Here is a 27,318-nt window from a genome sequence, read left to right on the forward strand (position 1 = left end):
GGGAAGCTGGGTCCCTTGCCTGCCTGCTTGCCCACCTTTTAGTCCAGAGCTAGTCCCACCATCCCATCTCCTCACTGCAGCCCCACCCCACAAGAACCCAGCAAAAACATCTTGGTGAAGACATTTATTTAATATGGGGGGTGGGGTATTGCTGTCTCTGTCAGTGTGTATAGGGTGGTAGGGAGACAACTAGAGGGACTCCTGTCCTGGGGTAGGCTGTTCTGGCCCCAGGCTGGGGGATGGGGAGCAGACTGACAGGGGTGGGGAGGTGTGTAAGAAGGGTAGGGTGAAGCTCTGCACACATCCTTGGGACCACAGTCCAGGCTCACCCAGTCACCAAAGCAAGAACCGAATAAATAAAGTGCAACCGTGGGGGTGGGGGTAGGAGAGGGAGGGCACCGGGTGCACCCATGCCCACAGCCCACATTCAGTGCTGCCAGGTCTGGCCCACCTCCCAGCCAGACCCTCTTGTCCAATCACCCCAATGTCTGTCCCTCCACAAGCCAGGCAGGGCCTCTGTACAGCTACTGGAGGTAGCGATAGGCTTTAAAGCAGTGGTTGCCAGCATCAGCCACCACCACATGGCCATCCGAGGTCAGTGCCAGGCCCTGTGGACCATACAGTGGTTCTGCAGATGTGTTGATATAGGACAGGAAGGAGCCAGAGCTGTCGAATACCTGGGGAAGGAGTGCAGAAAGGAGGGAGAGGCAAGATCAGGCAGATGAGAGTCTGTTTTGGGGGAACGGGCATATGGGACACACCAGGAAACCGCCCCCTCATGTCATTCCCAGGCCTTACTCACCTGGATGCGGCTGTTGCCCCAGTCAGCCACAATGATGTTTCCATTGGAGTCCACAGCTACTCCTGTGGGGGCATTGAACTGCCCATTGCCCTCGCCATGGGAGCCAAACTTGAAGAGGAACTCTCCATCGGCACTGTACACCTGGCGGGGGAAGGGGCTAGGGACTGGGGACCTGGCCTCAGGCAGAGGGTAGGGCTTTGGAGGAGGATAGGGTGAAGCCCCAGGGCTGAGAACCCCCACCCAGATCTACAGCTACAGCCCAAATCTGCTTCATAGGCTTCACATCCATGTGCCCTACTGCCTAGTAGACATCTCTTGCTGATGTCCATTGGGAATATCAAATCTAACAGCTCATTTTCTTTGGGAAATCAGTTCTCTTAGTTCTCTATCTCAATGACTGGTGCCACCCAGCTGGCCATGAGTCACTCTTGACTCCAATTTCTTCTCTGTTTGATAGGCCAATGAATTAACACAACTCTTGATTCCATCTCAAATCCCTCTCTCAAGTCTATACCCTATGCATACACTGTCTCGTCTTTCTCACGGTCCAGGCTCACATCATTTCTCATCTGGATCACTGCAAAAGATTGATCTTCCTGTCTCAGTCTTGCCTCAGCCTGAGTGATCTAAGACACACAGGACTGCATCACTCCCCTGCCTGCAATCCTGTGACTCCCCATAGCTCTTGGGAGGAGAGCAAGCCCCTTAAGGGGGCACACAAGCCTCACTCTCAGCTTTCACGGTCCCCTCCTCAAGCTGAGTCTGAACTACTTGTGATTTCTCGAACACACTATTAAGGTTCCCACCTTGCATTCTTGGCTCTTCCTGTGTCTTTTGTCTCAAACACTCTCGTCCTCCTCTGCCTTCCATTTAATTCCCACTTGTGCTTGAGGTCCTCCTCATATAGTCTTTCCTGAATCATACACTTCTGTATCCCTTCCCACAGTTCCCTGCACCTTCCTATCACAGAATCTATTACATCATATTGTAATTTTTTGGTTACCTTTTTCTCTTCCCTACTAGACTATAATCAAGAAGACACAGAATACATTTGCTTTGTGCATCACTGTATCTCCAGCTTCTAGCATACTGCCTGGGACAAAGCAGCCATGCATAAATGTGTAAATGTGTATTGTTTGAGTGAATGATCTCAAAGGGGAAAAGGAGGAGGTAAAATAGAGAGGAGTCTTGTGGAAGAGGAAAGGATGTTGGGACAGTGGTCACGGAGGGAGGGAAGACACTGACCTTCACTGAATGGTTATGGAAGTCCGTTACTACAATTTCATTCTTGTTGTTCACAGCCACAAAATGGGGCCCTGAAAATACAAAGTGGTCTTCAGGGCAGTAAGCTGGGATGCTGAGTGGGATGGGGAAGAGTATCTGGGAAGATAAAAGCTAGGGTGTTAGGAGAGGGGTGGGGTCTCCAGGACTGAGACAAATTATTTCTGAGATGATAGGGCTAACGTAAGGGAAGTGGGATCTCCAGAGCCAAGATATAGGAGGAGAGGGCCTTTACAGCTGGGGTATCTAGGGGAGTTCTCTGGAACAGGGGTATCAGCATAGATCTTGGAGCTGTCCCCCTATACCTGCAAAGTGGCGGTCAGTGGCCCCACGGCCCCCAAAACGGCCAACCAGTTTGCCATTGGGCTGGAAGGTAAAGACGCAGCAAGACTTGTTGTCGACCACAATGATATGTCCATTCCGGTCTACGGCCACTCCCTTGGGGCCCATGAGGCGGCCAGCTCCAATCTTGGTCTGGAGGAAGAGAATATCCATAAGAGGCTTTATTCTGACAGTGGGGAAAGTAGTCCTAACCCAGTACCAAAGCAGAATCTTGGGCTGGGGAAAGAACAGGGAGTAGGAGGAGGTAGGATTGGATCAGTCCAGACCCTGACCACCAAGAGGCACTAGACTGGTCAGTTCAGCTGGACACCAGGGTAAGTAAAGTGACAGCAGGCCTCTCACCTTGAACTTGCCCTCAGGGGAGAAGATGCTGACCCAACGGTTGTCATAGTCTGCCACAATTATGTCTCCATTGGTGTCCACTGCCACACCTGTGGGGCGCTGCAGCTGCCCAGGTGAGCGTCCTCGGACCCCAAAACGGAACTTGAACTGGCCCTCATTGGAGAAAACCTGGAGCAGAGGAGCAAGGGGAGGGAGCAGGTAGGAGGGGAGACACTGTGGGCACAGACAGAAGGGAGTAGGATCCTGAGGGAGGAGACCCCCCCACCACCATTTATTCAGTCATTCAACAAGCACTTACTGACAAAATCAAACATGGCAGCAGGTCTGGGGCAATGCAACAGAGATATGAATGGGATTGTGAGAACATGAAGGGATGAAGGGGAATGGTGAGAAAAGGCTCCAAGAGAAGAAGATGTCTGAACAAATAGCCTAATGAGGATGCCACATAAACCAAATTCGGCCAGGAAAGGAAGAGGAAAGGCATTCAAGCAGAGTGAACAGATTGTAAAAGGCACAAAGTCCAGTATGGGCACCACTTGAGGACTTGTCCAGTGTGGCTGGACTGCAGGGAGCACCCAGGTGAACAAAAGAAGGAATTATGTTTTATCCTGGGTGTAATGAGGAGTTTCTTAACATTTCTAGGCATAGCAGTGACAAGATCAATTTTGCTTTTAAGAAAGAACATTCTGGCTGTAGGGAGAAGTCAAGACTACAAGCTAGCTGCCCAGTCAGAGGCTGTTGCAGTATTCCAGTTGAGAAATGATGATGGCTTGGACCAAGGAAATTGGCTGGAGGGACGCAGATGGACTCAAGACATATGTAGGAGGTAGGCTCATGAGACTTAGTAGCAGACTGGAATGGGGTAGGTGAGAGAGGAGAAAGTATACAAGAATTAGTCCATTCAGGCTATGGGGCTGACAAGGAAACCTTCCTCCTACACAGAGTGAACCTTTCAACCTCTCCCTTCTCCAACCTCCTCTAATTTAGCTGCCCAATATGCTCAGGTCTCCCCATCCCAAAAGCACCTCCTTTAATCCTCCTTCCCACTTTAGCTAAGCTTTCTGGCTTTTCCTTCATAGTCAAAACATTACTCACTACATAAGTCTCATACACTCTGCTTTGTTATAGGCTCTGGGGACACAAGATGAACGAGAGCCAGGAGCAGCCTTGGAGAACTCAAGTTCTGGGCATTGGCCTTGCTCTTGGATTCAAATCTGTGCCTTCCTTAATGGACTGGTCTCCCCGCCCCGGCCCCACCCCAACTCCATCTCTTAGTCCTGCAGGGCTGTTTAAACTGGTCCCACCAACAGGCATCACTTTCTTCTAATGTGGACCTTCTACTAAGCTCTTCTCTGGCTGACCAGCACAGCTCTTGGGTTCTGCAGTGGTCCCCTGTGGCAGGACAGCACTCATCAGTATGAGAAGGGAGATACCATGAGCTCCACGAGCTAAATAGTAGAAGTGAGGGGGCACTAAAAGGTACAGTTTAGCGGTGAGGTAATGCCCCTCCAGTTTGAGCAGCTCAGGTTCTGGCTCAATACTGATGAGGCTTTGGGATGTCTTGTTCTTCCAGTCCCAGCCTATCCCACCCCTGACACCTGGCCAACTCTTACTCATCTTTCCATTCTTAGAATTTCCAGGTCACTTTTTCAGAGAAGACTAATGACCAAGTACCACCCTCCGCCCTACCAAATCAATATGCACATATAAACTTAGGTCACCAGGATATATGCTTTACAGCTCTCTTCATAACAATTATCACTTTGCAGCTAAATAACTGTTAAATATCGGTGTCCCCTTCTAAGGATGTAAGCCTCGCATGGCATAAGGACTGCATCTGTTTTGTTTGCTGCTGCACTTGCAGCACTGATATGGCATTTGGCACATAGTAGGCATTCAACAAATGAATGAACTCCCCAGCTCAATCTCAGACCTGAACTGGACATCTCCACTTGAATGCCGCATAGCTATCTCAAACATCTGCAAAAGTGAATTCATCAACTTAAACCTGGGCCTGCTCCTGAATGGCAACACCATCTACCCAGTCCACAAAGTCCTGCCATTCTTGACATTTGACGATTTAGCAAAATCTGCCATTCTTGCTTCCTTAATATCTCTAGAATCTGCTGGTGTCCTAGTTTGGTCCTTAACATCTCTCTCCTATACCATGGTATCTGAAAGTAGATCCCTGACTTCAGGGATCTCACAGTCTAGTGGGGGAGAAAGACTTAAACCAAAATAAAACAAAACAAAACCAGACAAAAACAAAAACAAACCAGTGATTCCAGTAAAGTATGAAAAGTACTATAGCAAAAGGCTGAGGGAACTGAGAAGAATGTGATTTAACATTCTGCCTAAGGGAATGAGGGAGTTTTCACAGAAGAGCTGATAAAACTGGAAGCTTAGACAATTACACAAGGACATAATATATACAAATCAAATTATTAATTCAGAATCACAAAATGTTTTTTGTCTTCTGTCAACTGATGCTGGTTCCACTCAGTGAGGTCTGCCTCATCCTCCACCATAGAAGTGTCCAAAAGAGAAAACGGTCATGTCGTGAGGACCCCAATCCCCATGTACTGAGAGGAGGAGGGGGATCAGACCTCATCAGGGAGCCCAGCCCATGCCAGCCCTAAGGACTCCAGAGTAAGAGAAGCAGAAATTCAACTTAGAAATCTGAGCCAGGCTCCTAGCAGTGGCGACATAGAGGGCAGGTGGAAGTAGAAGCAAGAGGAGGACTGCTATAGAAGTAGCAGGTGTTTGGAAGAGAGTGGAGCTATACCAGGTGTTCCCTCTCAATTCCCCACTCTGAAACAATGGGGAGGCCAGGTGCAGTGGCTCATGCCTGTAATCCCAGCACTTTCAGAGGCCAAGGCAGGAGGATAGCTTGAGCCTAGGAGTTCCAGACCAGCCCAAACAATATAGTGAAACCCCGTCTTTACTAAAAATAAAAATAAAATAAAATAAATTAGCCAGGTATAGTGGCATGCGCCTGTAGTCCCAGCTACTCGGGAGGCTGAAGTAGGAGGATTGCTTGAGCACAGGAGGTCAAGGCTGCAGTGAGCTGTGATCATAGCACTGTACTCCAGCCTGGACAACAGAGACCCTGTCTCAAAAAAAAAAAAAAAAACTATGAGGAAGTTCAGCCCCCTCACCAGGACAGACAAAGTGGCACTTGTTTTTCTGTGCATGTGAGCAGTGAGCACACCTGTGTGTGTGCACAACAGAGAAGGGGTCCCAAATCTCAACTTTTATGCCAGGAAGCATTCCCAGCCTAGGGAGTTGGAAAGGAGCTGGAAGGTGTAACTGAGTAGGGAACTGAGCACCACCTCATTACTCCCCCGCAATCCCCTCCTCACTATCCAGGCTGGGCCCAAATGCCTTCCTGTGCTGCACAGGGCCTCTCCATTCCTCTGCTCTTAGAAATAGGGTAGGAGTAAAGGACGACTGGACAGAACTGGGAATATGGCCACAGAAGAGTCCCTTGCACTTTTAGACTGTTAGGTGAAAAGCAGGGGTCAGAGAGTAGCCGTCACTGAGGGAAAGGACCTTAGCAGAGCTGGATCGATGACATGAGTACTCAAGCAGGGTCAGGAAGTTTAAACGTATAGGTGTTTAGAAGTAAGGATCTTCAGCGAAAAGTTTTGCTACCCAGTAAAATGTTTCGAAGAAGTAAAGTGCATGGTAGTTAGAAACAATCCCCTATAGGATAAAATCAAAATTCCACACTCCATCTCCAAAACCAATTACAATCTGACCTCAGCTACCCCTGGCTTCTAATAGTAATCTACCTCCAGGCCTGCTGGGCTCCTTCCAGTTCCCTGAACCACCTCCTCCAGCACTTTCCCACCTGCTTGCCTTTGTTTACAGCCTCCACCTGGACGATGATATTTTTAACAATAGCTAACATCAGAAGTTTCACTAGATGTCAAGTATAGTACATCATTTAACACTCCCCGCAACCCTATCAGATATACTTTTCCTAATTTTACACATGAGTTAACTGAAGCTCAAAGAGGTCATGTGACTTGTTAGTATGTGACAGAGCTAGGATTCAAGCTCAGGTGTCTGGTTTCAGAGCCTGAGCTTTTAACTGCTCTGCTGTGTCAACTACCCTGGTGCCCACTGTACTAGGCTCTGAGCTTTTACTACAAGAAACAGAGGGAAAAAAAGGCACATTTCCTGGCTTTGAAAAGGAGCTCACAGTGCAGCAGAAACCATGTTCATTCAGTGCGGTTGATGCCATAATCAGGTGTATGAGGTTATGGGAGAGGCAGTGGGAGGACCACCTGCTACAACTTCTAGCCACTGAAAGATACCCCCTTTGGCCAAGATACCCCTATGCAACTGTCTAGCCAACCTGATAACTGCAGAGACTCCAGACAGACTACATACATTCAGGAGCCAGGCATGCATGTTGGAAGACACGGAGGGCAGGCCACCAGGAGAAAAAGGGAGAAAGTAAGAGGCTCAAGGAGAGGCAGAAGGAAAGGAGGAATGAGCCAGATCTTTGCAGTCCAGGAGCTGACCTGCCCTAAGCCATGGCCTACAAAGTAGAGGCTACAAGCATAGTAAACTCTGGTTTCTGACTGAAGGTGCTGGTTACAGTTGTGGCCTATGGGAATGGGGTGGCTGGTGGGTGCGTAAGGGGTGATCCTTTGATTCACTGCTCTTAAGGAACGGTACTATCTGTAGGGTTCCATCTTCCAGGAGGTGACCTGTACATTCTATCTTTTCAGTAGCCTGTAGCTTGAAAACTCTTATTTTGGTGGTGGAGGAGAGCGGTAAAGGTGCTTACCTGAATACACTGGTTGTTGCTGTCTGCTACCACGATGCGGCCGCTGCTGGCTGCGGACACACCTTGTAAATTGGTGAATTCACCTTTCTCCCTTCCACGACTGCCTGTGGGAAGGGACAGGAGGGAAAACAAAATAATTCATTCAGAGGTCATCTTGAACCTCCCTTCCCTCCCCACCCACTACCTGAGCCTGGCCCATCTGGCTCTGCCCTCGGCTGTCTGTACCAACACGGAAGACGAGCTCATCCTCAATTGGGTTGTCCTTTCGTTTGCCGCCTGTGCTGTACATGGAGCTGGGCCTACGCACTGCCTTCTGGCGCACATGGCTGCCGGGGCCGCCAGGGGACTTGACACGGCGCTTCACATCGTCCGGGGAAGGTGGCAGGTCCCCCGGACGCAGGGCACGCACGCGGAAGGGGCTGCCGCGCACTGGCTGTCCGTAGAGCAGCACCGAGAGGAGCAGCTCGCCTTCCGTGCGCGCTGTGTACACTAGCTCATATGTGCCATTCTTGTGGTCCACCACTGGCACCGGAAGGCGCGTGCCGTCCGGGCCGGTGATCTCTGCACGCAGCTCAGCGCTGCCTGTGCGCACCAACCGCCCGTCCTTGTCTTTGGTAGTGACAGTGAGCGAGGCAGGCTGGCCCACTAGCGCCTGGCGCAGGCCCTCTCCCGTGGCCACCGTTTCGTGTGCAGTGGCGCTCGTGGTGAGCAGTGCGCCCAGATTGAGCACCGATCGCCGCAGACCGTCCACCTCAAGGACCAGTTCCAGCTGTGCATTCTCATGTGGCCGCTCCGGGAAGGCCTGTGCCGCCAATGCAGCCAGCCGCTCTCGCATGTGCTTGCGCACCAGCAACACCTCCGGGGCCGAGCCCAGGCGCAGTGCCTGCTCTGCAAAGCTGCAGCTACTGCCGATGTGTTCCTGACCCTGGCGCAGTGTGTCCAGCTGGCTTTGCAACACCTGATGAGGGGTAGGGGAGGAGTGGGTGAGCAGACTGGCACAGGGGGAGTCTCTGTGATTACTGAAGTTGTAGCACTGTGGCATAAAATACAAGAGGGTGCCTGTGGACAGAGGACACAGATGCCCACAGCACCTACCGAGGGCATGTCAGGAGGCAGAATATCTAGGCTGGGGAATGGGGAGCTGGTGTGGAAGACAGAGGAACAATGGAGGCAATAACACCATCACAATGGACGATGGTAGGAAAGGGTGAACACAAGACACACCTTCTGTTTGGCCCCACAAATGGTCTCCAGGTCGCTGACCAGAGCCTGCTTGCGCTGCTGCAGTGCTTGCTCCAGGTCCTCGAACGCTGCACTGATCTGGGCCAGGGCCTCTGCCTTGCGCTCCTGCAGCTGCTGGCTGATGCCCCCGACTAAGGCAATTGCTGCGGACAGCTGTGGCAATCTGGAGGGGGAATATCTCATTCCAGAGTTGCTGAGGGTGGCTTTGCCGAACTTTCCCTTCTCCCTGGGGAACCTACTGCTGCCCTCATGGAGATCTCCTTCCTGAGACCTCCCTGAGACTTCCATCTCTGCCCTTCCCAGACCCTTTATTCCCCTCCCCGCCCGAGCTAAGACACCATCCCTGTGGCCCCACCAGCCCAGGACCCTGCCCAGTGCCTACCGGCCACGCACAGCCTCGAGCTGGCGCTGCAGGGCCGCCTTGTGCTGCTCCACCACATCCCTCAGCAGCACTGTGCCATGCTCACGATGCTCCCCGGCGCGGCACTCACCACACATGGCCGTCTCACAGGCCTCACAGTAAAACTCCATCGTCTGCGGTACAAGGACTCCAGTCGGGTAATGGCTAGACATCACACTTCTTTGTCCCCTCCCCACCTGCCCTCCCTGCCCCTCACCTTCTAAGTGCACCCCCTACCTGGACCACTAATCCAGAGCAGTACCCTGTCACCCAGCCACTCGGCACCCCCCAATGCCTCTCCTCCTCCTCCCACCCCAAGTCCCGGCCTCACTGGGCCTCGCTTGGGCCCACCTTGCCTTCATGGTTGGGGCAGGAGAGAGGGCGGCCAGCCACTACACTGAGGGGGTGGGGGTCCTCCGGGTCGTGGGCCCCATCAGGTGCCTGCTGCATTGCCTCCATGAGGCTGCTGATGAAGAAGTTGTTCTGCAGTGCCGAGACGCCCTGCTCTGGGAGGATGGACGTCTGCCGGCATACTGGACAGGATAGCGTCAGGCTCTGGGCAGGGATATAGTTTTGGAGACATCTGTCCAGGAAGGAGAGTCAAAGAACAGAGTGGGTGGGGTGGCATAAGTGCACCCTTCCTTATACTTCCCATGGGTGCCAACCCCTTCCCTCACAGGTGTGCCATTACACTTCATTTTAAAACCTCTCTGCTTGACACATCTCATCTGCCAGCAGGTATAATGGCCTTGCCCCTTACAACTGAGTAGGAACACACCCCGACCCCTCTCAGAAGAGCAGACTATCCACATTCCTCACAGTGTGCACACAGGCTCACCTTTCACAGGTGTTTACAAATGCTTCTCATAGGAATGTGCAACTAGGCACCCCCTGCCCAACTTCTTTAACTCATTAACACTACTGTCTACTCTTGCCAAATTTATGCCAAGCCCTGGGGACAAAAAGATAAAGCACAGTGCCTACCCTTAAAATACTTCCCATCTACAGAGAAAAAAGTCACAGGAATAGTACAGAAGTAAATAGCATGATGATTAAGGGAATGGGTCCTGGAGCTAGGCTGCCCAGGCCCAACACCCCGTTGGTCACCTGTTATACTGTATGACCCCTGACAAGTTACATAACTTTGACAAGCCAAGGACTCTTCCTTTGTAAGATGGAGAAGTACAGACTTCACAGAGTGTTAGAGGATTACATGTAAAGTACTTACTTATATTTGAAGAGGATTAAATGTAAAATGCCTGACTCATAATAGCACTATATATGGTAGGCTACTTGTATTACTTATTATTAATATAAGGAATGATAGAAAGTGATAAGGAAATGCATCTGGCTCAAGCAGGTGGAGAGGGTGTCCAGGAAAGTCTTCAGAGAGTTGATGCAAACTAAATCTTCAAGGATAAATAATTGTTAGCCTGACCAAAGAATGGTGCAGGCAGAGGGGGAAGGGTAGTCCAGATACAGAAGGCAGCAAGAAGCAGCATAGTATGAATAAGCAACTGTAAGCAGTTTGATGTGGCTGGCTAGAGACAAAGTCCAAGGCAAGGAATGGTGACAGAAGTCAAGGAGCTTAGAAGTTATCCTGCCAGCAATAGGAAGCTGCAAGAGAGTGGTATAGCCAGGTTTATATTTTACCAAGCTCCTCTTCACCCCCTCTGTGTGGGGAGTGAATTTAAAGGGAATGAGACAGCAGATGGGGTTGGGGGGCGAGGGCAGTGGCATCACCAGCTAGTTACCATTTATTAAGTGCATATGTGCCAGGTGCCATGCTTTCTGATTACGTTTCTGTTAGCAGGAGAAAGGGCAAGTGGCCCAAGGTAACAACAGCAGTAGGTGCTGAAGCCTGTCTTCAAATGCAAAGTATGTGCTTAGCCAGCATACTCTTACAATCATCTAGGTAGGAAGTGAAGAAGACCTGGATTTAGGCAATAGTAATGTAGACTATGAGGTGGAAATAAATTTGAGAAGTGTTTAAGAAGGAGGGAAGGTGGGAGGTGTTGTCTGATTAGATATGGGGAGCAAGAGAGATGATGAGTCTTCGCTGACTTCCAAATTCCTAGCTTTGATAACTGAGTGGATAGTGGTGACATTCACTAAGATGAGAAACATAGAAAGAGGAGTAGCTATAGGAAAGTTCAGCCTTGTCCTGGTTGAATTTACTGTAACAATAAACACCCAGGTTGAGGTCACCAGTAGACAGGAGAATGAAGGTTAGAGACAAGAGATGGGCATGCCATCAACATTTAGATGGCTTCGGTAGCACTGGGAGAGGATGAGATCAGACAAGAAAGCATAGACAGTGATAAGAGAGAGGGACAGAGCACTTAGCAAAAACTGAATGAGGACAACAAAGAAGACCAGGCCGAGAGGCAGGAAGAGCAGCTGTGTTAGGGCAGAAAACTGAGTGGTACATTTCCAGGAGGGAATGAGTAGTCATCAGCGTTAAAAGCAGCTGACGAGTTGGGTAAGGTAAGGACAGGAAAATGTCCACTGAATTTGGCAAATGTGAGGGTACTTTGTCTGTAGGGAAAACAGGGAGGGAGTGGCAGGAGAAGGAAAGCTTGACTGCTGGAAGTTGAGTGAAGGGGAGCTTGAAAGTTCCAATGAGGAGCTGGTTGAGGGGTTGGATGGTGCTAGAAAGAGTTTTTACCTGTTTGGCATGGGAGTTTTGAGCATGTTTATGAATGGAGGAGTCAGGAGAGAAGGAGAGGGGGAAGAGACTACAAAACTGAGAGGAGAAGATCTTGAGGATTGGGGAGTGCCTCGGATTGGCCTGAAGAGGAGGACTGGACGTCAGTCTCTGAATGGAGGGAAGGAGGAAAGGAGAGGAGGATATAGAGAGGCACTAGGGACATAGGAGAGTGAAGGATGGAGGATTCAGGGGCCTGATGATGGCTCAGATTAGTCAGTGATGGGAGAGCAGAGGACACTTACTAGAAACAGACATCAGAACTGAAGGCAGCTGTATTTGGGGACCTCAAATTTGTGGAGTGAAGATCTGCATTATGCAAACTCTCCCATATCCTCAATCTCAACTCTTAATGTTTCCTATAACTTAGGATCTTAATTAAAATCTGACAAACACTATGTGCCAGGCATGATTCTAAGTGCTTCACAAGTATTAACTTATTTAATTGTGTTTTCTTTGTTTTTGTTTTTTTGGTGGCTTTTTTTTTTTTTTTTTTTTTTTTTGAGACGGAGTCCTGCTCTGTCACCCAGGTGTGAGTGCAGTAGCACAATCTTGGCTCACTGCAACCTCCACCTCCCGGGTTCAAGCGATTCTCTTGCCTCAGCCTCCCGAGCAGCTGGGATTATAGGCTCACACCATCACGCCTGGCTAATTTTTGTATTTTTAGTAGAGATGGGGTTTTGTCATGTTGGCCAGGCTGGTCTCAAACTCCTGACCTCAGGTGATCTGCCCGTCTCGGCCTCCCAAAGTGCTGGGATTACAGGCATGAGCCACCATGCCCAGTGTAACTTATTTAATTGTGACTTACTTTTCCTTGCAGTCCTCTCAAGTAGAGTGGTTTCTGTCTCATACTCCACACTCCTTAGGGCCAGAAGGTGGGCTTGAGCCCTCCCTCTTCCCAACTGGAACATTTCTGAACTATTCAACTCTAGCTCCTTTGAAGCTCATGCCTTCTATCTCTATCACTCCTCCTTATTGTTGTCTCTGCTAACCTAATGGTTGCCCCCACTTCCAATTGTGGACATCTTTCTCTTGGCTCACTCTCTTCTTCCATTACCCCCCGCACCACTCTGCCATCATTCTCAGTGGCACTAACATCCATCCCCCATTGTGATTTCTTAATTCCTTGACCTTCTCACCCCCAGTGATCTTTTCCCCCATTTCCCATGCTCCCACTAACACCCACTTCTCATCAACTATCACTGCATTTCAACCATTCTACTCTATTCTTCAGCAGCTTTCTTCCAAGCTCACTGAATCTAGTGTTTCCCCATGCAAAACACCTTCTAATTCAGCAATATCCCCTTCCTATTTGTCAAGTGTACCTGGCTCACGATAGCTTCCTAACTGGTCTCTGTTTCCACTCTTGCTCCTTTATAATCCATTCTCTCCATAACAGCTAGGGTGAACTTTTTACATTACATTATTTCCCTGTATATATATATTTTTAAAAACTCCAATGGTTTCCCATTGCACTTAAAATAAAATCCAAACACTTTCTGAAAACCTACAAGCTCCCCCTTAAACTGCCCTTATTCTCTCCAATTTCACCTCATCCCACTTTACTCCTCACTTGGCCACACTGGTTTCTTTTCTGGTATCTGAACATGTCCTGTCTACTTCTTCCTCAAGGCCTTTGCACAGATTTTTCTATTGCCTGGAACAATCTGTCTCCTTCTTATCCTCAGAACTCAGGTCAAATGTCACCTCCTCAGGGAAGCCTTCCTTGATGACTATATAGAATAGTTCTTGCCCCAAACACCCCTACTTCTCTCTGTTTATATCCTGTAAAACATTAATACAAGCTGCAGCTCTCGTTTTCTTGATTGCTTACTGTCAGTCACTGCCCACTAGAACATCCTCTGAGAGCAGGGACCAAGGGATACATGAATGAATACTAGTTGACAGTGAAGGCTCTGCAGTGAAAACTGGATTCAGATCTCAGCTATTTACTTACTGTGTAGCCTTGGAAATATTTCTTTTTTTTTATTTGTTTATTTAATTTAAGATAGAGCCTCTCTCTGTCACCCAGGCTAGAGTGCAGTGATGTGATCATGGCTCACTGCAGCCTCCACCTCCCAGGCTCAAATGATCCTCCCACCTCAGCCTCCCGATTAGCTAGAACTACAGGTGCATGCCACCACACCCAGCTAATTTTTAAATTCTTTTTTAGAGACTGCATCTCACTATGTTGTTTCCCAAGCTACTCTGGAACTCCTAGGCTCAAGTGATCCTCCCACCTTGGCCTCCCAAAGTGCTGGGATTACAGGCATGAGCAACTGCACCTGGCCAGAGATATTTCTTAATTATTTACTGACTTTGAACCTTAGTTTCCTCCTCTCTAATATGGGGATACCTGGGTGTGGTAGCCTGCACCTGTAATCCCAGCTACTCAGGAGGCTGAGGCAGGAGGATCACTTGAGCCCAGGAGTTCAAGTCCAGTTTGGGCAATATAGCAAGACACTCATCTCTAAAAAAAAAATAAAATTTAAAAAATTGAAACAAGCTGGGCACGGTGACTCACGCCTGGAATCCCAGAACTTTGGGAGGCTGAGGCGGGCAGATCACAAGGTCAGGAGTTCGAGACCAGCCTGGCCAACATGGTGAAACCCCATCTCTACTAAAAATGCAAAAATTAACCGGATGTGGTGGCGTGCGCCTGTAGTCCCAGCTACTTGGGAGGCTGAGGCAGGAGAATCACTTGAACCCAGGAGGCAGAGATTGCAGTGAGCCAAGATGGCGCCACTGCACTCCAGCCTGGGTGACAGAGAGAGACTCTGTCTCAAAAAAACAAAAACAAAAACAAAAAACAAACCAAAAAAAATTAAAATGAAAAGTTACATTAAAAAATTAAAATAAAAAAATAAAATGAAGTTAATAAAGTATCTGTTGCAGGGATTAAGGAAATCAGTATGTATAAATCACTTAGCCAGTCCCTGGCAAACAGTAAGCAATCAATACATGGTAGCTACTGTTATTACAATTTCTCAGCCAGATTTTCTCCAGGAGTGCTCAGTGATCTGGGCACAGGAGAAAGTGCAGAGACATCCAATTTCAGCTCTGATCCAACATTGAGCTTCTATTGCATGGGTTTTGCAAAGGATAAAGATGTGAAGGAACTGCAGGGGAGCCAGTCGGTCAGCCACAGGGTCCAGGATGGGCAGGAAAGACAGGGAGGCCAGGACGCAGCTGGTGACTGGGAAAAGAGGGAGCAGTCAAAGGGGCTAGATATCTATATTGTATCGAAAGTGGTGTAATGGGAGTGGGGTAACGGGAGCCAGGAGTGGAACGTTGGCGTTTATGACTACAGATAAGATTCTGGATTATAAGATTCAGGGCATGGTTGGGAGGGAGTGTTACTGAGGTGGAATGGGGGACAACCCTGAAGAAACAGTTAAGAACCAACAGGCACAAGAGGGTGGTTGTCCCCAGGCTGACAGAAGAACTTGAATGGACAGGAAAACTGAGGCCATTTCCAGTTGATAAAGGAGAGTGGGCAGTGGAGCTGGAATCTCAAAGAGCAGGGCTGGCAGGGAAGCAGTATCTCTGGTGCAGAGCCAGGTTTCCGTTGGGGCAGAAGGCAGAGGAAAAGTGCGGATAGAGGCAGTGGTGGTGAGAAGACCTAGGGACCAGGCCACCCAAGACAGAACAATGAGAGATAAGGGCCCAAGAGAATATTGTCAAAATACAGATGTGATCACATATAAAACCCTGCAAAGGCTTCATGTGGCTCTCAGGGTAAAGGTGAAATTCCCTAACAGGTCTACAAAGCCCTAGGTGGTCTGGCCTCCACCTACCTCTCCAGCTTCATCCCATAATACTCTCAGTCACACTCACTCTGCTCTAGCCCTACCAGGCTTCCTCCAGGCCTCTTACCTGACATATTTTCTCATGTCACATGAGCTTTTCCAATGGTCTTTCTTCTGTGCAGAATGCTCTTCCAACCCCCTTTACCTAGTTAACTCCTATTCATCCTCTGAATTGCTCCTCAGGGAAACCTTCCCTGATTCTCCAAACTATAACAGATTCCATATGCCAATCTCTCATAGCTCAGCACTTTATTTGCAGCACTTACTAAAAGTTATATTTATCTATAATCTGGCTATATGATTATTTGATGACTATCTTTCTCTTTCACTATACTGTTAGCTCTTTAAGAGTAAGCATTGTAAGTGATGGATACCTTAAATACCCTACTTGATTGTTACCCATTCTATGCTTGTGTAACAATGTATCACATGTTCCCCATAAATATGTAAACTATTGTGTATCAGTTTTTAAAAAGAGTAAGCACGGTAGCTCACGCCTGTAATCCCAGCACTTTGGGAGGCCGAGGTAGGCGGATTGCCTGAGTTCAGGAGTTCAAGAACAGCCTGAGCAACACGGTGAAACCCCATCTGTAATAAAATACAAAAAGTTAGCTGGGCGTGGCGGCGTGCGCCTGTAGTCCCAGCTACTCCGGAGGCTGAGGCAGGAGAATTGGTTGAACCTGGGAGGCAGAGGTTGCAGTGAGCCGAGATCGTGCCACTACACTCCACCTTGGGCAACAGAGCGAGACTCCATCTCAAAAAAAAAAAAAAAAAAAAAAAAAGAGTAAGGATCTTATCTGTTTTTGCTCATCACTGCATACCCAATGCCTAGAACAGGGTCTGGCACATAGTAGTTGCTCAATAAATGAATATTTGTTAAATGAATAAGTGATCCATAGAAGCCTAGAGGCTGGGACAGGTTGCCTTTCACTCAGTACCTGAGGACAACAAGGACAAGCAGGGAAGGACAGACCTAACTTCAAATATCCTCCAACTAGTCATAAATTGCTGATGCCAAAGCTGGTTGAGTCTGAGCACTGTTTGATTTCTTAGGTGGTGTCAAAAGCTGCCTTGAGGTTTGGGAAAGGACAGAGAAGGCCCTATTCTTGACAGGAACCATGGCCCAGTGTTATGGTTCTTATGGTTCTCTCACAGGTTCTTGCCCTCAAAACCTCATTTCCTGCAGGTTGGGGTTCACCTGCTCTCCTCCCAGGTAAGCATGTTGCCTCACCTACTACAGGTTTACACATGCTCCCTCACCCTCCCCACAGGGGAGGAGGATCCTCATCCTCCCCACAGGGTCCTCATCCCTCCCCAGTACACACATCCCCTCACCTCTCACAGAAGGTGTGCAGGCAAGGAAGAACCTTGGGGCACTGGTACCGATCCAGGCAGATGCTGCATACCAGGAACTGCTTGTCCATTGGCTGGACCTCTGGGCCAGGGCTGTCCTCCCTCTTTGCCATGGCGCCCACAGATGGCTCCCGCCACTCACACCAGCCTCTGTATGGAGAGATGGTCAGCACCAGGGAGTCCAGAACTTCTTCTCCCCACCCAATCCCCGCCACTCAAATCCCCTGCAGAGAACTTGCCCCCACCTCTTCCCTGCTAGGGGCAAGACAGGGCAGTGACTGGAAGGATCAGGGTGATGTGACCTCTGAGCCTGGTGTTCTGTTTAAGAGCACAGACGTAGGATTAGATTGGGTTTCAAACCTGGCTCAGTCTCTCACCAGCTATGTGAGCTTGGACAATCCATGTAACTTCTCTGAGCCTCAGTCTCTTAATTTGTAATTACAGGAATAATAATTTGAGAGTGTGACATAGTGCCTGTTGAGTGCATGGTACAGAGATGTCCATTTTCACTGACATACCTACCCTTCATCTCCTCTACCTCCCCCAAATCCTCCTCCAAGAGACCTGAATGGAGTGTCTCTCCTCTAACTACCTGCAGCTCTTCCATTTATACCCTGACCCACCTCTTAGCACAACTGCCTGAAACTGCACTCTTTTTCACACCCAGTTAGTATCAAGGTCGGGATTGCTTCCTGAATATCTTAAACCCTTCTCTCCAATCCCACAGTTACTACCCCTAATTCAGGCAACCATCTGTTCTCTCCTGGAATACAGCAATAGCCTCTTAACTGGTGTTCTTGTCTCCTCACTGACACCTTTTCATTTATCTTCCTTGAAGCCAGAATGAATTTTCTAAAACACAGATTTGATCTTGTCAGTACTCTGTTTAAATTCCTTCAAATGTTATCCATTGTCCAAAGTCCTTATATTGACCAGTGAGGCTTAACTTTGCCCCATACCTTTTCTACAACCTCATGTCTCATAAGTCTATGATCAATCATTCCTGCTGGGTTTTTTTTTTTTTTTTCCAGTTCCTGGAAAATTCCTTGTTCTCTTTTGCTTCTGGGAGATCAGGCATTCGTTCTCTCTGTCCTGGGATCCTTTTCCTGGCCCCTTTTCCTGGCTGATGTGACACCTACTCATCTTTCAGGTCCCCATATAAATGTCACCTCCTTTAGAAGACCTTCCATGACTACCCAGAGTCTGGCTTGGGTGCTCTACCTCTGTGTCCCTCAGCACCCTGTATTTACTCCATCCTAACTCTTATAAGCTATGCTGTAATGTTCTTGTTACTTCTCTGCTTTCTCCACTCCATGCAGTGTTATTGAGGATAGGCATTTTATTTATTTATTTATATTTTATTTTATGTTTTCATTCTTAGCACTTAGCACAGAGCCTGACATAAAGATTGATCTATATTTACTGAATTGATTTCAGGAATTCAATAAATATTTACTGCCTACTTTGTACAGGTGTTAGGAATGGAATGATAAAACAGACAGGGTCACTGTCCCTGTGGTGGGGAGGTGGTGGCAGATATTTTAAAAGTAAATAATAGTGGCAGGGAAGTGATATAAAGAAAAAAGGGATGCTGTGAGAAAGAACACTTTTGATTGAGTCATCAGGGAAGGCTCTCCAAGGAGGTAACTTTTAAGCAGAATTCTGGGTGGATGGGAGAAAAATGGTATGGGTGAGGGTGAGAAACAACAGGGAGTCAGGAAGGGAAATCATTCTAGGCTGAAGAAACAGCATGATAAAGGTTCTTAGGCAGAAGGCTCATGGAGAACCTGAAAGGACTGTGTGGTTGGAGCCAAGTCAATAAAAGGAAGAGGTGAGTTTGGGAAGATAGGTAGAGATGAGATCATGAAGGACCTTATAACCGCCATTAAGAATGTGATTTTGGCTGGGTGCAGTGGCTCATACCTGTAATACTAGCACTTTCAGAGGCCAAAGCAGGAAGATCGTTTGAGCCCAGGAATTGGAGATCAGCCTGGGCAACATAATGAGACCAATATCTACAAAAAAATTAAAAATCATCTAGGCATGGTGGCACACACCTGTAGTCCAGGCTACTTGGGAGGCTGAGGTGGGAGGATTGCTTGAGCCCAGGAGGTCGAGGCTGCAGTGAGCCATAATCGTGCCACTGCACTCTAGCCTGGCATGAGACAAAGTTGAGATTCTGTCTCAAAAAAAAAAAGTGATTTTATCCTAAGTTGGAGGGGGGGATGATGTGGTTTATAAATAAGTGAAAATAAATTAGAAAGCTACTCTGGCAAGCTGTGAGAATTGAAGACAAAGAGAAGCCAGAGTGGAATCAGAGAAAACAGTTAGGAAGCTACCAAAGTTCTTTGGGTAAGATAATGTAGGGTATCATCTGAGCTACAAGCAAAAAGCTGGACTGATTTGAGAAATATTCATTGGCCGAGCAAGGTGGCTCACATCTGTAATCCCAGCACTTCGAGAGGCTGAGGAAGGAGGTTCACTTGAGCTCAGGAGTTCGAGATCAGTCTGGGCAACATAATGAGACCCCATCTCTATAAAAATAAAATAAATAATAAAAGAGAAATCCAAAGGACATCAAGATGAACTGGGTGTGAGAGGGATGTCAATTATGACTTAGCTTTCTCATTTTAGCAAGTGATGGGCCATGAATAGAGACAGTGAAAGCTGAGGTGGAGCTGATTTGGGGCATTCTGTTCTATGTATGCTAAGTACAATGTGTCTCTCTGATGTCCAGGTAGAGCTGTCAAGTAAGAAACAGAATACAGGAGCTCAAGAGAAAAGTCTGGACTGGTTATTGATTTGGGATCACTAGCATATAAATGGCACTTTCAGCAATGAGAAGACATGAGCCCACCTAGGGACAGAGGGCAGACAGTGATAAGAAAAGGGCCTGGCACAAGAGAGGGGAGCCAGCAAAGGTGACTCTGAGAAAGAGAACCCAGAGAAATGGTAGGAAAACCAAAAGAATGTGAAACCAAAGAAATCAACAGAACAGTGCAAGAAAAAGAAGGGGTGAAGTAAGAAACGGACTGAAGAGTGCCCACTAGATTTGGCTGTGGTGGGGTGGCAGGGGCAGAAGCCACGTCAGAGTGACTGAAGAGTAAATGGGAGATGAAGTTAACACAGCAGATGTAGACAATACATGGCAGGGATTTGGTCATGAAGGGTGGCAGAACAACAGCTGGATTACTCCAAAATAGGCAATGAATAGGACCAGGTCACCATTGTCTGTGCTGTTGGATGCATTATGAGCCTTTTTCTAAAGACTGTGAATGAATGAATGAATGAATGAATGAATGAATGCAGGAGCGAGTCTAGATTTGGGGAGGGATAGAAGGGCTGAGTTGCTGTGCCTTATGTTTGTGTAAGGGTGGGCCTGGGTAGAGTGTGAAGGGCATGCCTGAAAGTATCCTCTGCTGATGTAGACACTGGCATCCTGATGTTCTCTCTACAGTTGTAATGGGTTCTGGAGTCTGAAGACTTAATACCAGGAAAACATAGCAGGAGGGAGGACAGATTGAAGGTTGGCGGAAGGACCAGGAGGCGGGAGGCAAGCTGAAGCCTCTGTCTGGTGAAGGGAAAGGCTGGGAGGAAGAGTGGGAGTGGTCTGCTGGGTCCTGCTGGGGTAGCTGGATGCCAGGCTCCACCTCTCTCCAAGCCTAGGGGCTCTCCCAGACTGTCACACAGGGGCGGGGATTGGGCTATGTCCAAGGACCAATAGCTCCTCCCCCACTCCTCCCCTTCCTGCTTCAGTTCCCCTCCCAGACTTACTGGGCATGCAGCCGCTGAGGCCATACCCCTGCCTGAATCTGAGATTCTCTTCCTCCCGTGGGGTCCTAGCTCTTCCATCCCACTGTGCTCTAGAGATTTGCCCCCAAGATCCTATAGGTGGTGGTTCAAGTGAACTGTTTATCACAGCAGACACTTATAAGGCCTTGGTCTCAGAGCCAGACTTTACTCTCCTTTCTCATACTGCCTTCTGCTATCCCTGTATTGGTTATTCCCACCATACTTTATGGCTTAGTTCTCAAGGCACCTCACTCCCTCATTCAGCATTCACTTGACACTGCTGCTAGGCCTGGGGACACAAAGACAAATAGTCACAGCTCAGCCTTCATGGATTCCACAATCTAATAAATAGATTACTGCAATGTAAAGTGGTGAAGACCATGATGAGGAAGCACCAATTGCTCCAGGAGTACAAAGGTTACCTAACCTAGATCTGGAGCAGGGGTGGGTCCAGAGGTTGGAGGCCAACCTTTCTCCTAAAGAAAGTAACTTTAGTAACTCCTAAAGAAAGTAACGTTCAAGCTGAGGATGAGTTACAGAGAGTATGGTGCCTTTTGCATCAGGAGGCTGAATCAGACACTGTGATGGGAGGGCTAAGAAACAAGATGGAGAGGTAGGCAAAAGATATATCATGCAATGCCTTGTTGGTCTTATTAAGGAGTTTAGACTTTACGCTTACCTGCTAGGGGATGAAGGATTTATCCAAAAAGCAAAGGAAAACTTTGGTAGTGGTGAGGGCTATTAAGTATAGAGTGACAAAAGTACATTTTTGGCTGCTATGTGGAAAATAGTTTAAAGGGCAAGGACGGAAAATTAAGAAACTGCCTTGATTAGGAGAATAGCAAAGACAGGCCAAGATAAATCAATTTTGCAGGGGGATATCAACTGAACTTGGTGGCTGGGTATTTACATGTGAAGAGTTAGGGGAGAAGAAGGAATTAACAGATGATTCTTTGGAAACTCTCAAAGAAGAGCAGTTTGGATGAGAGGGTGATAAGTTTGGTGTTTATCTTTTAAGGTTTTTTCAGTTTTGTTTTTGTTTTTTAAGAGACAGGGTCTTACTCTGTTGTCCAGGCTGGAATGTGGTGTTATGATCATAGCTCACTGTAGCCTCAAACTCCTGGGCTCAACTAATCCTCCTGCCTTGGCCTGCCAAAGCGTGGGGGTTGCAGGCATGAGCCACAGCACCCAGCTAGAGTTCACTGTTTAATGTGATGAATCTGAGGTGCCTATGGGATGTAATTCAAGTGGAGAGGTCCAGTTGGCAGTTGGAAAGATACGCTGAAGCCTAAGAGAGAGGTCTGGCCTGGAGACATGAATGTGGATGTTGGTGCAGAGATGGTTCCTGAAGCCATGGGCGTGGATGACATTACCCTGAGAGGGTAAAGAGAGAAAGGAGGGTCTATCACCAAGTCCCAAGGAACCTCAATATTTAAGAGATAGGCCCAGGAAGCAGAGTCTGCAAAGAAGATTGAGAAGGCACAACCAGAGAAGCAAGAGAATCAGGAAACAGATGTCATGAATGCCAAGGGAGAAGAGAACTTCATGAACAAGGGAGTGAAATGCTGCAGAGGTCCCATTATTTAAGCCCCAAAGAGGCTTTCATTAACCTCAGAGCATGTGGTTTTCAGGGGATGGAGGACAGGAAGCCAGATGCAGGGAGTCAAGCAAGAAGCTGATTGTGAACAAATGAAGACAGCCAGTGCTGACTCCACTAGATCCTGGACATCTGCAAAGGATGTGTTTCAAGGCTTTTCAGTTTCTCCAAATTCTCAAATAGCATTAATTTTCCCCAGGACTTCCTCCTACAATCTCACAGGATTCCCAGTACACATGAGTTACACAGTTGTGAATGGAGGTAACCAAGGCATTGTTGAAAATGGATGCGAGAGGTCAGCTAGGCTCATTTGCTTGCTAAAATAACTCACGTCTACTCACTAGCTTCCAGGTTTATCTGATCATTTGAGACCTCAAAAAAATGACAAATGACTGCAGGTTACAGTCTTTGGGCTTTCTCTGAAACAAATGAAGCCTTGGATGAGGCAAAGTCCTTAAAGCCAATGAATCCTTTAAATAAGATTAGCAGGGAAGGAAAGCAATGAAATTCATGGCCATCTCCCCCAACATTGCCAGACTGAGTAAAGTGAATGAACCATTCAATCAAACTTCTCTGGGCACACTGTGGGCCAGGTCCTTCAGCTGTGAAATAGAGACACAAAGCTGAATCAGACACACTCCCTGTCTTTCACAAGTTTTTAGACTAATGTGAGAAACAGAAATGGAAACACGTAACTACAATGTGATAAGTACCATGATATTGACATGTTCAAATTGCTACAGCAGCAAACTGGAGGAAGTACCTAACTCTGAGGATGGTACAGAATAAAGAAGGCTTCCAGAGGAAGGGGTATTTGAGCTGGGTCTTGAGAGACAAATAGGACATTGATACGTACATTGGGAAAACAGTGAGTAAAGAAACAGAAACATGAGAAACTAAGAAATATGGAACAGATGGACAAGATTGCAAATCTCCAAAAGGCAGAGGTTATACATGATGCTTTTACATCCTAAAAGCATAAAAATAAATATGCTAAAAATAAATAAATCTAAATAAATAAATAAATAAAAGGCACCACCACTCACCCACCCACACAAGCGAGAACCCTGGTAGTCTTCTCAATTACACCTTTTCTTTCACCTTTCAGATACAAGCTATGACTACATCCTCAATTCTGCCTCTGAAATTTGGCTAGGTTTAAAAAGTTAGGAGATCTAGGATCTAGTCCTAATGCTGTAACTAACTCCACTAACACAAGGTGAAACTCTAGGTAAGTTCCAACCCCATTCCCTTATTTGTAAATTGGGAGAAGAGGGATGTTTTCTCAAAATCTGAGATTCCCAAGGTTCCCTCTCAAGCCAAGGGCTTCCACAGATTGTACCATGAGCCCATGATTAAATCCCATCTTGTACTACCTCGATGATTTGACTTCTAGTTTCCACTGTTAGGCTAAATGTGTTAGAGGATGGTCTTAGTTGCCTCCCCTCCACACTCCCCCTGCCCCCTCGCCCCCGTAAATAAATGTTTGCTGAGTTTTAAGTCACCTGTGACACTCTATGAACGCTCTCTATTCTAACCATATGGTTTTTCTGCTTTTCTGAACCTGGGCTATACTATCCCAACGATGGACTCTTTGCTCAAGTTCTCTCGGCAAGAATGCCATTGTCTCCTAAGTGGCTGTGGCAGTACCTGGCACACAGGAAGTACTCAGTATATGTTGGTTACAGGAGAGCTCTGTTTAAATCTCTGCAGTTCCCTTTCATCAGAGAGAGATGCAAAAGTAATGGCAGTAACAAGACAAGTGAATAAAGTCCCAAGAAGAGAGACCTCTGCTTAATATAAGGAAGCTTTTCCACAGCAGAAAGTAGCAAGTGCTCTGTCACTGGAGGCATACAAGCCCAAGGAGGCAGGGCTACTGTCAGGCCTGCAGCTCTGATTCCAATTCTGCAGCAAATCATCCCCTGCTTAGGGGATGAATGGGCACCAGTGAGCTAGACAGACTGGCCAAGGGAGACCTGTGATGTTTTCTGCACCTGCTGTGACCTCCCAGATGTGATCTTCCTGCTAGGGCCAGTCCTGAGTTTCTGTTGTCCACATCAGAGAACCCCCACACCAAGAACAAGCCCAGGGCCTGCCCTCAGTCGAACTGACCTCCCTGGGGTGCAGCCTGCCCCTCCAACCTGCAACCATCTGTCCCTGCAGGTTTGCAGCCCAGGATCTGAAGCCAATTGCAGAAGGGAGGAGGTCAGAACCAGGGAGGGGCCTGGGGTCCTCCAGGCAGGGCTCAGGCTACAGGAGAACCAGAGGGGTCCTTTCCTACAAAAAAACAGCCTCCACATGAGGCTTTCTGTCCACAGAGCAGTGCATGGGGAGGAAAGGGTGTCCTCCATCCTGACTGGTGGGCCTGTGGGTACCAGAGGATGGAAGGGGCGGGGGGTGGGGTAGGGTGGGGGTGGGGGAGCAAGGGGTGGAGGTGTCTGCACCAGGGAGAAAAGAGCCCTTCAGACAAGATGGGCCACAATATTCCAGAGTCCCACTCAGCACGCACCACCACCACCACCCTCGGCCGCAGCGTTCAGCACCCTCCGCCAACACACACAAGCTCCCAAACCCCGCGCTCCCCTAAGGAACCATCACCCATCCACCCGCGCCTCCCCGCCTCAAAACAGGGACCTCACGTGAGCAGCCACAGCCCGAAGAATCCCCCTGCTGCTCTCACGGACATGGACACGCCTCACGTGGGCAGAGAGAGGCACAGCTTTTGAAAATCATCTGTGCCCCCACCCACAGACGCTCCGACCCAGACCCGGGCTGACAGGAATACAAACGCACCCTTGGGGCCCGCCCGTCGCACTCACCGCGTTGGAACAGGATGCGAGGGCAAAGCTCGGACTGCGGCCACTCTGAAGGGCCCGCGGCGCTGCTACTGCTGCCAGCGCCCGTCCGCCCGGCCCTGCCCGCGCCTCCGCCTGTCCCCGCGCCGGCGCCGCCGCCGGACTAGCCGCACAGGCCGGAGGGAGGGGCCGGGGCGGGGCTGCGGACCGGCCGGGGGAGGGGGTGACTCCAGTAGGGAAGACCCACCCACGCCCCGCCCGCCGCCGCGGAGGCCCCGCCCACCCCGCCTGCCCACCCCTACCGCACCCGCACGCCCCCCCGCCAACGCCTCCACCTCCTGCGGACGCTGCCTCCTTGGTGCTGCTAGGGAGCCGGCGGGCCGGCGAGCCGGATCCCGGATCTCGGATCCCGGATCTCCGCCAGCTGCCTCCGGCTCCGGGAAGGGCGGTGTAGTCGGTCTCAGGGATTGAGATGAGACTCCGTCAAGAAAAGGCAGCTGGGGCAGCAGGGATTTCGGACTCTGGGAGCCTGTCTGGGCCGCCTGCCTCCTGGAGGCGCCCTTTCCGGCTTCCTTGGAGTGCTCCTATGGAATATGCTAGTCTATCGGCTGACCAGGAAGACGTAGAAACCGTCTGTACCTCAGCACGATCTCTGGGCGGCAGAAGGGCAGTACCCAGAACTCTGGGAGAAGGAGTTAAGGGGTAGAAAGGTGGGGGATTTGATTAGGCTTTGGGCGCTTCAGGAGCCCCCTCCTGAGGAAATTCTGGTTCAGACCATCCAGCGACTCCCTTCCTCACACCAAAGACACTGGACAATTCTCAGAATCATCGCCTTGTGCAAAAAGCAGCCCCAAGTGGAAAATAATTGTAACAGTTTACAGGGACTGAGTGGTTATTATGTGCCGACACAGAACTAGCCACTTTACATATATTATTTAATAGTCAGTAGGTAGCATCTTTTATTAGCCCAATTTTACAATGGGAAAAAATAGGGATCTTGCTCCCCAGACGTTAGCCCTCATCACTCAGCTAGAAAGTGGCAGAACCTGGAGTTGAGCCCTGTTTTTAGGCCCTACAACCAGCATTTGGAGACTCGGTACCTTTCATGTTGAAAAATCCCCAGTGGCCCATTAAGTGGCAGCTCATATAAGGACCACCTTCCCTGCCCCAAAAATCAAGCTCTAGTCAGATGATTGCAGGCTGATCAAAGCCCAGAAGACTGTCTGGGAGCTGCAGTATCCATGACAAAGGGCAAAGTCATGCCTGTGAGGATCCCTGCACTATGGGAATCTGCTGAGTGGGTCTTCCCCTTCCTCCAGCCTTCCAGAGGTGGGGAAAATCCTGAAAAATTCTGGTTTCCTTGGCCAAAGGGCATACAGGTGATGACACCTAGCCCTGACTAAACCAAAGTGCTGTTAGGGATCTTTCTTGTGACCTCTCCACAAGGTTCAGATTTAGGCTCAACACCTGGGTGCAGCAGGAGCTTTGGGAACCGCCTCAACCTCTTATCCACCTGAGTTCAGCACATAGCACAAGATGCTCCAGTGCTTGTGAAGGAAACCCAGACGGGGATCATGCTTGCAGTTTTGGGCTGGGGCTACTATGCTACCCAAGATGAGGGAACTGGAGTCTAGATGACACTATCTTAAGCCTCAGAGGACTACTTTTCTCAACTCTATACTTCTCCCATGCAGTCAAATTTCTGCTTAAAACACTTCTCAGCTCCTTCTCCAGAGGGCAAAAGTCCTTAACCAGCCTGCAGTCTTCATCTAGCCACTCCCTCTTCATTTTTCATTCCAAGCAATTCCTCCCAGTTCCTACTCAGAGCCTTCATTATATGCTAGCCTCTCTGCCTGGGATGCTCTTCCCTTTACCCTGCCTGTTTGTCATCTACTCACCCTTCAGGTCTCAGCTTTTTTTTTTTTTTTTTTGAGATGGAGTCCCGCTCTGTTGCCCAGGCTGGAGTGCAGTGGCGCAATCTTGGCTCCACTGCAAGCTCCGCCTCCCGGGTTCACACCATTCTCCTGCCTCAGCCTCCCGAGTAGCTGGGACTAC

The 27,318-nt window shown here is 48.7% G+C and overlaps 1 protein-coding gene across 11 annotated transcripts, besides 4 other annotated features; it reads right to left on the minus strand.

Moving 5' to 3' along the window:
• Positions 1-109: 109 nt before the first annotated feature.
• TRIM3 (tripartite motif containing 3) lies at positions 110-25,956 on the minus strand. 11 transcript variants are annotated; one of them, XM_024448328.2, is made up of 13 exons: positions 25,288-25,438; positions 24,581-24,647; positions 17,062-17,229; positions 9,562-9,793; positions 9,193-9,344; positions 8,793-8,973; positions 7,794-8,526; positions 7,569-7,672; positions 2,768-2,935; positions 2,389-2,557; positions 2,048-2,118; positions 803-943; positions 110-677 (listed from the first exon to the last, which is right to left on the minus strand). In XM_024448328.2, exons 3-13 carry the CDS (start codon positions 17,190-17,192, stop codon positions 525-527), a joined length of 2,235 nt encoding a protein of 744 aa, XP_024304096.1. In that variant the 5' UTR covers positions 17,193-17,229; positions 24,581-24,647; positions 25,288-25,438; the 3' UTR covers positions 110-524. The 11 variants fall into 11 exon arrangements, with proteins under 11 accessions (XP_024304096.1, NP_006449.2, XP_047282213.1 ...); NM_006458.4 differs by having other exon boundaries at positions 24,581-24,745; XM_047426257.1 differs by lacking the exon at positions 25,288-25,438 and adding an exon at positions 25,108-25,244 and having other exon boundaries at positions 24,581-24,745.
• Positions 20,616-20,910: an enhancer, noted in NCBI's record as "tiled region #6512; HepG2 Activating DNase unmatched - State 8:EnhW, and K562 Activating DNase unmatched - State 8:EnhW". NCBI's record gives its function as "activates a minimal TATA promoter and a strong SV40 promoter by Sharpr-MPRA in HepG2 and K562 cells {active_cell/tissue: HepG2 | K562}" and the evidence as "EXISTENCE:reporter gene assay evidence [ECO:0000049][PMID:27701403]".
• Positions 24,099-25,038: an enhancer, noted in NCBI's record as "H3K27ac-H3K4me1 hESC enhancer chr11:6493832-6494771 (GRCh37/hg19 assembly coordinates)". NCBI's record gives its function as "activates a minimal SCP1, AML or CMV promoter by ChIP-STARR-seq in naive H9 embryonic stem cells {active_cell/tissue: H9 hESC(naive)}" and the evidence as "EXISTENCE:reporter gene assay evidence [ECO:0000049][PMID:30033119]".
• Positions 25,039-25,977: an enhancer, noted in NCBI's record as "H3K27ac-H3K4me1 hESC enhancer chr11:6494772-6495710 (GRCh37/hg19 assembly coordinates)". NCBI's record gives its function as "activates a minimal SCP1, AML or CMV promoter by ChIP-STARR-seq in naive H9 embryonic stem cells {active_cell/tissue: H9 hESC(naive)}" and the evidence as "EXISTENCE:reporter gene assay evidence [ECO:0000049][PMID:30033119]".
• Positions 25,335-25,564: a silencer, noted in NCBI's record as "silent region_3103". NCBI's record gives its function as "represses an Ori minimal core promoter by ATAC-STARR-seq in GM12878 lymphoblastoid cells {active_cell/tissue: GM12878}" and the evidence as "EXISTENCE:reporter gene assay evidence [ECO:0000049][PMID:35858748]".

The sequence above is a fragment of the Homo sapiens genome, chromosome 11 (genome assembly GCF_000001405.40).
Source record: "Homo sapiens chromosome 11, GRCh38.p14 Primary Assembly".
Lineage (NCBI taxonomy): Eukaryota > Metazoa > Chordata > Mammalia > Primates > Hominidae > Homo > Homo sapiens.